Consider the following 13,040-nt stretch of genomic DNA (forward strand, 5'->3'; position numbering starts at 1 on the left):
AATTGGAACCCTCATGCATTGCTGCTGGAAGTGCAGAATGGTGTAGCCACTGTGGAAAACAGTTTGGTTGTTTCTCAAAAGCTGAAACATAGTACTACCAAATGAACCAGCAATCCCAAAATCACTGAAAGCAGAGGATCAAACGTATCTCACATTAATGTTGATAGCAGCACTATTCACAATAGCCAAAGGGTGGAAACAACCCAATGTTCATCAACAGATGAATGGATAAACAAAATGTCTTCTATCCGTGCAAGGGAATATTACTCAGCCATCAAAAGGAACGAAGTTCTGATACTTGCCACAGCATGGATGAACCTTGAAAACAGTATGCTAAGTGACAGAAGCTAGATGTGAAAGGCCACATATTGTAATTCCAAGCATATGAAATGTCCAGAATAGGCAAATGTATAGAGACAGAAAGCAAATTGGTAGTTGCCAGGTGTTGGAGGGAAGAGGGAATGAGGAGTGACCACCTGGTGGGCACAGGATTTCCTTTTGGACTGATGAAAATGCCTTTCAACTAGAGGGGCAGTTACACAACGCTGTAAATACACTAACACCACTGAGTTGCACACTTTTAAATGGTTACTTTTATGTTATGTGAATTTCACTTCAATTAAAAACACACAGGTTAAAAAAAAAAAAAAAAAAAAAAAAAGGACAGGCCAGCCCAGTGGCTCACGCCTGTAATCCCAGCACTTTGTTTTTTGTTTGTTTGTTTGTTTGTTGTTTTTGAGACAGAGTCTCGTTCTGTCACCCAGGCTGGAGTGCAGTGGCGCGATCTTAGCTCACTGCAACCTCTGCCTCCGAGGTTCAAGCGATTCTCCTGCCTCAGCCTCCTGAGTAGCTGGGATTACCGGCGCCTGCCATCATGCCTGCCTAATTTTTGTATTTTTAGTAGAGACAGCGTTTTTCCATGTTGACCAGGCTGGTCTTGAACTGCTGACCTCAGGTGATCTGCCCATCTCAACCTCCCAAAGTGCTGGGATTACAGGTGTGAGCTACCCTGCCCAGCCTAATCCCAGCACTTTGGGAGCTGGAGGCAGCTGGATCACTTGAGTCCAGGAGTTCAAGACCAACCTGGCCAACATGGCAAAACCCCACCTCTACAAAAATTACAATAAATTAACCAGGCATGATAGCATGCACCTGTAGTCCCAGCTACTCAGGAGGCTGAGGCAGGAGGATCACCTGAGCCAGGGAGGTTGAGGACGCAGTGAGCTCACTACACACCAGCCTGGGTAACAGAGTGAGACCCTGTCTCAAAAAAAAAAAAAAAAAAAATGAACAGGCATTTAACAACATTTGTACTATCATTAGGAAAAAATAGCTTTCTTAAATTCCTGCTTATTGAAAAATAGATTGAAATAATTTATAAATATTGCAGTGTCACCAAATATCCTTCATTGATAAACTACAGATTTAAGGATGGCGACAGAAGAGCAGATGTAGTGAAAGGCTTTGTACTTAGTGTAAATGCCATTATGAGAGAAGTTCAGCTGAGACCTGTTTTAAATAGTCACTTGCTTAGATACTGAGCATGATTCTGTGTGAGGCGTCAGTCTGTGTGTCTGGCCATGTGGCTGTGTCACCAAGCTGCAGGACAGCAGGACTCTGCTGCCATCCAGGCCTCTGGTTCCTCCAGAGGTCCCTTGGCTGAGAAGAGCTCCCTGTGTTGAAGGTCTGGATGTCGCCTGGGTTCTGCAGGTCTCATCAGACTCCACTAAGAATGAAAACAACCTTCTCCAAGGAGAAATGGCCTTGCCATGGGTTAAGAGTAAAAAATTCCCATCTCACCAGCTCCAGGTGATTGGGGATAGAGCGTTCCTAGACAGTAATAGCTGATCCCTCCCAGGAATGGAGGACCCAGTTATGAGGTTCATCAAAGCTGGGGTCAGCTAACGGACACCAAGTATTCGCCCGGAAGGAGAATGCTATGGCACTGGAGGAAAGTAACCATCCCTCCTTAACCCATTCATTAACTTTATATACACAAACCACAAATTTACAGAATGGCATAGTAAGCAGGAAGCCAGTGAAAGGTGATCCCAGGCCACCAACACCACCAACAATGTGTGGTTTAATATGACAGTTGGACATGCTTGTTATAAGATTTTTTCATTTTTAAGACTGAAAAGTGCAACAAAGGAAGATAAAACCTTTCCACTGGGCCGGGCGCAGTGGCTCACGCCTGTAATCCCAGCACTTTGGGAGGCTGAGGCGGGCGGATCACGAGGTCGGGAGATCGGGACCATCCTGGCTAACACGGTGAAACCCCGTCTCTACTAAAAATACAAAACAAAATTAGCCAGGCGTGGTGGCGGGCGCCTGTAGTCCCAGCTACTGGGGAGGCAGGAGAATGGTATGAACCCGGGAGGCGGAGCTTGCAGTGAGCCAAGATCGAGCCACTGCACTCCAGCCTGGGTGACAGAGCGAGACTCCTTCTCACAAAAAAAAAAAAAAAAAAAACAAAACACGCAACCTTTCCATTGTCCCATCCCCCAGAGATAAGCACTGCAAACATTCGGTGATATCCTGCCAGTGTCATAGAAACAGGTATAACCATTTTAATTAAATTAGGATCTCAGTATAGCTACTGATTTCAAACCTGCTTTTTAAACTTATTAGAAACATTTTTCATTTCAGTTAATAATGCTTCTACAACCTGATTTTTAATGGCTATGTAGCATTCATCATATAAGTATCCCATTACTCATTTCCAAATTTCCTAATGTAGTCATTTAATTTTTTTGCTATTATAAATAATACTGCATATACATGTAGCTTTTTACAGCTCTCTGGTTTTCTTTTCATCTGAGGATAAGTCCCTATCAGAACTTATTTTTGAGACAGGGTCTCACTGTGCCACCCAGGCTGGAGTGCAGTGGTGTGATCTTGGCTCATTGCAGCCTCTGCCACGCGGGCTCAAGCCTCCCAGACTCAAGGGATTATCCCACTAGGCCTGGCTAATTTTGTAATTTTTTTAGTAAAGACGGGTTTTCGCCATGTTGGCCAGGCTGGTCTCAAACTCCTGACCTCAGGTGATCCACCCCCCTTGGCCTCCCAAAGTGCTGGGATTACAGGCGTGAGCCACCGCACCCGGCCAGAACTTCTTAAAAAGACAGCATCTTTAAGGCTTTTGATTTATGTTGCTATATTGTTTCTTTGGACTGACTTAATTTTAAATCTTTTTTATGATCAGAGAAAAAAGTTTTGTTTATAGGATACCAATTTTTGTCTCTTTAATTTCTTATTAGTATTTTTTCCATAACTCTTTTTGCACAGTGTTATCAAAGAAACAAGCTTCTGAGTGAATTTAGAAAACAATCTGTCCACCAGGCGTGATGGCTCACACCTGTAATCCCAGCACTTTGGGAGGCTGAGAGGCAGGTGGATTGCTTGAACCCAGGACTTCAAGACAAGCCTGGGCAACATGTCAAAGCCCCACCTCTACAAAAAATACACAAATTAGCTGGGCATGGTGGTGTGTACCTGTAGTCCCAGCTACTTGGGTGGTGGGGGGGCTGGTTTGCTGAGGTGGGAAGATTGCTGGAGCCAGGAAGTGGAGGCTGCAGTGAGCCAAGATCATGCCATTGCACTCCCCTTTGGGTGACAGAGAGAGGTGAGACCTTGTCTCACAGAAAAAAAAAAAGAAAGAAAGAAATGAATCTGATATGCATTCTTTTTTTTCAAAACAGGCCCACATGGAAAAAGGCAAAACTAAAAGATCACTACTAAAAAGTCAAACATTGATTCAGTGTTTTGGGATCAGCCAGTGAGCTAGTGTAGTTACATACAGTTGGAGAGAGAGAGGGTTAGTGAATTAACCAGACAGTGCTGTTATGAACATTATAACTTAAATGAATAAATTAGGTTTCCTTCAACAACATATTCCAGCAGACACTTTCTGATAGCAAAGATATAATGATCAAATACAATCTTCTAAAGTTAACATGCAAAGCCAGGCACGGTGGCTGTCTCCTATAGTCCCAGTTACTCTGGAGGCTGAGGCAGGAGGATCACTTGAGCCCAGGAGTTTGAATCTAGACTTTACAACACAGTGAGACACCATCTCTAAAATTAAATTAAGTAATAACATCTTAGGTTCTCTTTAGCAGCTCATTATGCGCTATTAAATTCTTTTTAATTTTAAAAAGTTAATTTGTAAAACATGTTCATTATATTCATATTCTTGGGTTAGTGTTACATTCTCCAAGACATAACTGTGAAACCTTTGTAGTTAATGGCAGTATGTCACCAGAGTGCCTCTTTTCCTATCGAACAAACTAGACAGAAGTTCAATTCTGCAGTGACAAGACACAGAGTAGCATAGAGTTCACCTGAACCTGACCTTCACCCCACCCAGCTCATTCTCTGAATTCTTTGTGCCTTCACAGTAATCAGTATTTAACTGTTCTCCAGTCTTCTCTTACCTTTATTTAAAAAAAGCAAATGCTGAGCCAGTTCCTCAAATATGTATGAATTATGTTTATATTTGCAACATAAATGTAGTGGCTTGCTGACATTTGTCATGTTCAAAATTATATACTTTGAATATAATTTTGAAAGATGTTAAATGCCTTCATGGATTTAAGGATATTTTCTCTTGTTCAGCAATATTTATATTATAAAGTAGGATGTTTACAATAAAATATGGGTGCTCAATCACAAGCTAAAAGCAGTTAAGTAGTTTAACATACGTTAAATGGGGCTGGGCACGGTGGGTGGCTCATGCCTGTAATCCAAGCACTTTGGGAGGCCGAGGCAGGCAGATCAGGAATTTGAGACCAGCCTGGCCAACATAGTGAAACCCCATCTCTACTAAAAATATGAAAAATTAGCTGTGCACGGTGACGCACGCCTGTAATCCCAGCAACTTGGGAAGCTGAGGCAGGAGAATTGCTTGAACCTGGGAGGCGGAGGTTGCAATGAGTCGAGATCAAGCCACTGCACTCCAGCCTGGGCAACAGAGCGAGAGTCTGTCTCAAAAAAAAAAAAAAAGTTAAATGAACACACCTTTTAACATCTTTGGAAATTAAGCCTCAAACTAATGAACCCCAGGATCCCAAGCCCATATCCCCATGTGTCCCCAGCCACAGGGACAGTCTGTCCCTCTGAGGCTGCTTTTGAAAGAAAGTATCATGTCTCCAGCCCAGAAGCACTGTGAGTACTTCACCACTCTGTTGTCTTAGGGAAAGTGTAAAGCCATTTTTGAACGCCTTCCATGATATCTGTTCATTGCTCTGTCTTAAACATAAATGTTCTCTTATTTCTACAATGAGAAATTATTCAAATATTTTACTAGCTTTCTACAATAGCACAGGGGTATAATAGGGTCACTGTCCAGCCCTCAGCAAGTTCTAGCCTTCAGTTTGCTATCAGCTGACACACCCATAGTTATTACAGCTTGACCATGTGTAATCCAGAAATCCAACATTCAAAAGGCTCCAAAATCCTAAATGTTCTGAGCGCTTACATGACACTCAAAGGAAATACTCACTGGAGTATTTCAAATTTCAGATTTCTGGATTAGGGATGCTCAACCTACGTATAAAAAAAATCCAATATATGAAATACTTTTGGCCCCAGCCATTTCAGATAAGGGATATTCAGCCTGTACTACTTTTGCATATAGTTTTTTTTTAAGTGGTGCTTTTAAATTTTCAGCAGTGGACTGACAATGGCACAGTTTACAAAATGCCCCACTTTTCCTTGTCCTCAGGCAAGTGTGCACCTGTCTGTCTGGTGCTCCCTGAGGCCTTCTCTCTCCCTCTCTCTCGCCCCTCACTCTTCACTGTCTTTCCCTCCCCCTGTACGTGTCCCTTTTTCCCTCTCCATTCCTTTTCCCTATTTTTTGTCATATATCTCTACCCTTTACTGGCCATGAAACTAAAATGTCACTGTCATTATTATTATTTGCTTTATTTATTAAATTGAATCCTATGGCACGTGCTGTTTTTTCCCATTAGGTCAACAACCTTCAACAATGAACAATGATGTATATTCATGTCTTCATACATTTCTTTCACACATAGTATACGTGATAGATAGATGATAGGCAGTCAGATTGGTGGATGGGTGAGTGGATGGATGGATAATACAAGTGATGATAGATGGAACATAGATAGATAGATAGATAGGATTGATTAAATAAGATAAGATGACGAGCAGCAGGTGTCCAATCCACCCCTGCAGTGAGGGCAGATATTTAAGGGTCTTGTGGGGGTAACATTGCAAACTGCGAATTGGGAGAATTGCTGAACATGTACATTGCTTATTATCCTCTCACTGGTCATAATTAAGAATTCTACAGGCATGAAAGGATGGGCTCGTGATGGATACTCTGGGGTGGCCTGTAAGTGCCAAGAAGCAGTTTATTGTTGTGTGGGAGCAGCATTTGCTGGGAAAAGGAGGTATATGTCCTGCCAGAAGCCCACGGAATGAAAGAGGCCACTGCCTTTGGTAGGATGTCCCTGAGGCCATGGCCCAGGTTGAATTTGTTCTTTGCCAATTTATATGGTGGTGGGTTATACTCAGGTACAGCAGAAATCAGGAAGGGGCCAGGCGGCCTCTGGGAGACTCGTGGGGCTGTCATGTGGAAGGTGCTTTCTCTTCCGCAGGCTTCTCTGTCATAGGAAGGAAAGCCACTTAACATTTCCTAGTCCATTCATTATCAATTACATGAATTATGTATGACTTTCTGAGGATAATTGTGTTCTTGGATGCCAGAAAAGTTGCTTTCTAAATTACTTATGAAGTAGAACCAGGACAAACATGGTCTAAACACCAAAATACAACTCCCACTTGCAGACACAAACCCAATTCCCATCACCTCAAAGTTGCTAACAAATAATTGATATGAATTTTCAACCTAATTCACATAGGCTTTTGGCATGGAGGTGAAACTGTACAACAAAGTAGGTAGAAGACAGAGTGAGAGAAGACACTTCCTGGAAAAGTTTATTCATCCACTGCTCATGAAACAAATATTTACTGAACTCTTAGCATGTGTCAAGGGCAATGCTAAGTGCTTGATATACATCAGGAACAAAACAAAAAGATATCTGCCCTGGGGGAGCTTATAGTATAGGGGGTGATACAGAGAATGAATGAAACATAATAAATCAATAAACCACAGTGTGGGCTGGGCGCAGTGGCTCACGCCTGAAATAACAGCACTTTGGGAGGCCAAGGCAGGTGGATCACCTGAGGTCAGGAGTTAAAGACCAGCCTCGCCAGCATGGTGAAACCCCATGTTTCTACTAAAAATATAAAAATTAATCAGGCGTGGTGGTGCACATCTGCAGTCCTAGCAACTAGGGAGGCTGAGACAGGAGAATCGCTTGAACCCGGGAGGCGGACCTTACAGGTCATTGTAGGAACTCTTAGTGAATAAGGTCCCGTTGGAGGATTTTGAGTGGAGGAGGGGCCCTAGCTGACCTACACTGTGAAAACATCACCCTGGCCACTGTTTCAGAAGATGCCATAGAGAGGCAAGGAGACCAGGCTGCTGCTATAATCTGGGTGAGAGGTGCGGATGGTTGGAATCATGGAAGTAGTGAGATTCAATTTGGATCCAGTTTGAAAGTAGAGCCTTGCTGATGTGATGGATGTGGCTCGTGATAGCAAGAGAAGCATCAGGGATGATGTCATGGTTTATTCTGAGCCATTGGGAAGACAAACCTGCCTTCCCCTGTGGTCTGAAGGCTGCAGGTGGAGCAGGTCCCGGGGGTCAGGAGTTCGAGCCTGGCCATGCTGAGTTTAAGATGTGCATTAGACACCTGAGTAGGGACCTCCTTCACCATCTGTAAGGAACTGGTAATAGCAATAATCAGTATAATAATCAAGCATAATCATGGCAAAAATCACTGCAATACATAGCTGTCATATTTACAGTTTTAACTTTTTCAAATATAAACTTGGTTACCTGTTTCCCTGAAAGTTTAGGGACATTTTTTTTCTGGTAGGAAGACTACTTGCCAAGAAAATTTCATTTTCTTTATATTTAGAGTCAAGTTAGCAAAAAGCGATAAAATAAAGAGTATGCTCCTTACGAACTTCGCCCGAAAATCCTTTTGCTGGCCACTTATTTTGTTGTTTGGCCCTAAAAGACTGATGACAGGGTAAGAACTGAAACCATTCTGTTTACGGAGTTCCTCAAGTCATGGACAGTCCTGGGAAATGTCAAGTCCTTACTGGATTACCTGAACTGGTTGGAAGGGAGCTGTCCACCAGTGCTTGCTCCTCATGGTTTCTTGCTTTTGCCTTGGTGATGTGGTTGAATTCCCCACTGCCACCCTACACCCAGGCGTACTTCTTGATTTCGAAACACACTCATCACCATACTCTTGAGACCAGTCTTGTTGCAGGCAGTGGCTCACCCTCTAGTCCACATCCCTGACCTCTGCACTCATGGTCCTGAAGCAGAGCTCTGGGATTCTCTTCATCCAAACCCCCAGTGACTTCCCATCCATCCACAGATTCCAAAACTGGTCACTGCATATTTCTATATCAGGCGTAATTCTAGCTACTATGAATTAAAAGCTTCTTATGAAGCTGAGTCTCTGTTAGGAGAAACAAACCAATAAGAAAATCAGCACACAGTGTGTTGATGGCTGATGCGTGGGTGGGAAAGAAGAATAAAGCGGGGTAGGGACTGCCGGGTGGCAGGGAGTTGCCATTTTCTCCGGGGCTGCGGAGGATGTGGCATCTGAGCAGAAGCTGGTAGAAGGGAAGGGCACGGCAGTGGCCCAAGGAGGCAGGCTCTCGAGTTCGAGAGGTACCCGGGCTGTGTGTCTGGAGAAGAGTGAGCCAGGCTGGGTGGGGAGGGGAATCAGGGAGCCAGGGAATGGGGAGGTCAGATGACGAGAGGCTTTAGGTTTCACTTGGAGATGGAAAGTACTGGATTGTTTTTGTTTTGTTTTCATAATATATTCTTTTATTGTGATAAAATACATATAACATAAATTTTACCATCTTAGTCATTATTCAGTGCACCTTCTGTGGCATAGAACATTCACACTGTTGTGCAACCATCACCAAGATCCATCTCCAGAACTTTCTCATCTTCCCAAAATGAAACTTTGTGCTCATGAGACAACTCCCAACTCCTTCCTCCCCACAGCCCCTGGCAACGATGCTTCTACTTTCTGTCTCTATGATTTTGACTTATGTAAGTGGAATCATCCAGTATTCGTCCTTCTGTGACAGGCTCATGTCACTTAGCACAAAGTCCTCAAGCTTTATCAATGTTGTAGCATGTGTCAGAACTGCCTTCCTTTGTAAGGATGAATGATACTCCATTGTGTGTCTAGACTGCATTTCCATTATCCATTCTTCTGCCCATGGACACTTGGATTGTAGCATTGGGTTGCTTGGGGTTTTTTGTTACCAGTTTTTATATATTATCTTTATTATTATTTGTGTATATTTAAAGAGGACAAGTGCAATTTGAATGGAACATGGAGATATTGTGTAGTGGTGAAGTGCAGGTGCAGTTTGGATGGAACACGGAGATACTGTGTAGTGGTGAAGTACAGGTGCAGTTTGGATGGAACACGGAGATATTGTGTAGCGGTGAAATACAGGTGCAGTTTGGATGGAACACGGAGATACTGTGTAGTGGTGAAGTACAGGTGCAGTTTGGATGGAACACGGAGATACTGTGTAGTGGTGAAGTACAGGTGCAGTTTGGATGGAACACGGAGATACTGTGTAGTGGTGAAGTACAGGTGCAGTTTGAGTGGAACATGGAGATTCTGTGTAGTGGTGAAGTACAGGTGCAGTTTGGATGGAACACGGAGATACTATGTAGTGGTGAAGTACAGGTGCAGTTTGGATGGAACACGGAGATACTGTGTAGTGGTGAAGTACAGGAGCAGTTTGAGTGGAACACGGAGATACTGTGTAGTGGTGAAGTACAGGTGAAGTTTGGAACACGGAGATACTGTGTAGTGGTGAAGTACAGGAGCAGTTTGAGTGGAACACGGAGATACTGTGTAGTGGTGAAGTACAGGTGCAGTTTGGATGGAACACGGAGATACTGTGTAGTGGTGAAGTACAGGTGCGGTTTGGATGGAACACGGAGATACTGTGTAGTGGTGAAGTACAGGTGCGGTTTGGATGGAACACGGAGATACTGTGTAGTGGTGAAGTACAGGTGCGGTTTGGATGGAACACGGAGATACTGTGTAGTGGTGAAGTACAGGTGCGGTTTGGATGGAACACGGAGATACTGTGTAGTGGTGAAGTACAGGTGCGGTTTGGATGGAACACGGAGATACTGTGTAGTGGTGAAGTACAGGTGCGGTTTGGATGGAACACGGAGATACTGTGTAGTGGTGAAGTACAGGTGCGGTTTGGATGGAACACGGAGATACTGTGTAGTGGTGAAGTACAGGTGCGGTTTGGATGGAACACGGAGATACTGTGTAGTGGTGAAGTACAGGTGCGGTTTGGATGGAACACGGAGATACTGTGTAGTGGTGAAGTACAGGTGCGGTTTGGATGGAACACGGAGATACTGTGTAGTGGTGAAGTACAGGTGCGGTTTGGATGGAACACGGAGATACTGTGTAGTGGTGAAGTACAGGAGCGGTTTGAGTGGGACACGGAGATACTGTGTAGTGGTGAAGTACAGGTGCAGTTTGAGTGGAACACGGAGATACTGTGTAGTGGTGAAGTACAGGTGCAGTTTGAGTGGAACACGGAGATACTGTGTAGTGGTGAAGTACAGGTGCAGTTTGGGTGGAACACGGAGATACTGTGTAGTGGTGCAGTACAGGTGCAGTTTGGGTGGAACACGGAGATACTGTGTAGTGGTGAAGTACAGGTGCAGTTTGAGTGGAACATGGAGATACTGTGTAGTGGTGAAGTACAGATGCAGTTTGAATGGAACATGGAGATACTGTGTAGTGGTGAAGTACAGGTGCAATTTGAGTGGAACATGGAGATACTGTGTAGTGAAGTACAGGTGCAATTTGAGTGGAACATGGAGATATTGTGTAGTGGTGAAGTACAGGTGCAATTTGAGTGGAACATGGAGATACTGTGTAGTGGTGAAGTACAGGTGCAATTTGAGTGGAACATGGAGATACTGTGTAGTGGTGAAGTACAGGTGCAGTTTGAGTGGAACATGGAGATATTGTGTAGTGGTGAAGTACAGGTGCAATTTGAATGGAACATGGAGATACTGTGTAGTGGTGAGGTACACGTGCAATTTGGATGGAACATGGAGGTATTCTGTACTGGTAAAGTACAGGTGCAGCTTGGGTGGAACATGGAGATATTGTGTAGTGGTGAAGTCTGAGTTTTTAGTATATCCATCACCCAAATAATGTACGTTGTACCCATTAAGTAATTTTTCATCATCTACCCCCCACCAACCCCCTCACCCTTTTGAGTCTCCTGTGTCCATCATTCTACAGTCTATGTCCTGTATACTGATTATTTAGCTCCCACTTGTAAGTGAGAACATGTGGTGTTTGTTTTTCTGTTTCTGAATTGTTTTCCTTAAGATAGTGACCTCCAGTTCCCTCCATGTATCTGCAAAAGACATGATTTCACTTTTTTATGGCCAAAAAGTATTCTATTGCGTGTATATATACCACATCCAGTCATCCATGGGTGAGCACTTTGGTTGATTCCATATCTTTGCAATTGTGAATATCACTGTGATACACATATGAGTGTAGGTATCTTTTTGACATAATGATTTCTTTTCCTTTGGATATATACCTAGTAGTGAGATTGCAGGATAGAATGGTAGTTCTATTTTTGATTATTTGAGGAATCTCCATACTGTTTTCCATAGAAGTTGTGCTAATTTACATTCTTAAGAACAATGTATAAGTGTCCCTTTTCTCTCCATCCTCCCCAGCATGTTATTTTTTTGTCTTTTTAGTAATAGCCATTCTGACTGCTATAAGATGATATCTCACTGTGGTTTTAATTTGCATTTATCTGATGATTAGTTATGTTGAGCATTTTTTCATATGCTTGTTGGCCATTTGTATGTCTTCTTTTTAAAAGTGTCTATTCATGTCATTTGCCCACTTTTTAATGGGATTATTTGGGGGTTTTTGTAGAGTTGAGATTTTTATAAATTCTGGACATAGTCCCCTGTCAGATGCAGAGTTTGCAGATATTTTCACTCATTCTGCAGGTTGTCTGTTCACTCTGCTGATTATTTCTTTTGCTGTGCAGCAGCTTTTTAGTTTAATTAAGTCCCATTTGTCTATTTGTGTTTTCGTTGCATTTGCTGTTGAGGTCTTAGTCATGAATTCTTTGCCTAGACCAATGTCCAGAAGAGTTTTCCCTAGGTTTCCTTTTAGTATTTTTATAGTTTCAAGTCTTACAATTAAGCCTGTAATCCATCTTCAGTCGATTTTTGTATATAGTGAGAGATAGGTTACCCCTCTCAGGAACAGTGAGTATTAGAGGAAAAAGAATTCGAAGGAAGAAAGAAACTGTGTGCCCAGCATTGCGGCCCATTAACTGTCCTTCCACTTTGATATTCACATAGACGTCCTCCTGTTGAGGGAGGCTGGTGAAAGGGAAGCAGGGCTGAAGAATACCAAGGGCCTTCTCAATATTGTGAAGTACTCTTTTTTTTTTTTTTTTAACTTTTATCTTAAGTTCAGGGATAATTTGTTACACAGAAATGATTTGTTCTCATCATTTAGCTCACACTTATAGGTGAGAACATGTGTTATTTGGTATTCTGTTCTTGTGTTAGTTTGCTAAAAATAACCTGCAGCTCGAGCTCCTGACCTCAAGTGATCCGCCCGCCTCGGCCTCCCACAGTGCTGGTATTACAGGCGTGAGTCATCACAACTGGCCTGGCCAACATGGTGAAACCCCGTCTCTACTAAAAATACAAAAATTAGCCGGGCATGGTGGCGCACGCCTGTAGTTCCAGCTACTGGGGAGGCTGAGGCAGGAGAATTGCTTAAACCTGGGAGGCAGAGGTTGCAGTGAGTGGAGATTGTGCCAATACACTCCAGCCTGGGTGATAGAGCGAGACTCTGTCTCAAAAA

At 43.2% G+C, this 13,040-nt stretch overlaps 1 protein-coding gene across 5 annotated transcripts in view, besides 1 other annotated feature; it reads left to right on the plus strand.

Annotated features, from left to right (window-relative positions):
- GNAL (G protein subunit alpha L) overlaps positions 1–13,040 on the plus strand; it is a 196,422-nt gene that overhangs the window by 104,860 nt on the left and 78,522 nt on the right. The window lies entirely within an intron of this gene.
- Positions 2,141–2,277: a silencer, noted in NCBI's record as "fragment chr18:11796263-11796399 (GRCh37/hg19 assembly coordinates)". NCBI's record gives its function as "represses an EF-1alpha promoter that drives an FKBP-Casp9 reporter gene in an ReSE screen in K562 erythroleukemia cells {active_cell/tissue: K562}" and the evidence as "EXISTENCE:reporter gene assay evidence [ECO:0000049][PMID:32094911]".

This window comes from Homo sapiens, chromosome 18 (assembly GCF_000001405.40).
Source record: "Homo sapiens chromosome 18, GRCh38.p14 Primary Assembly".
Taxonomy (NCBI): domain Eukaryota; kingdom Metazoa; phylum Chordata; class Mammalia; order Primates; family Hominidae; genus Homo; species Homo sapiens.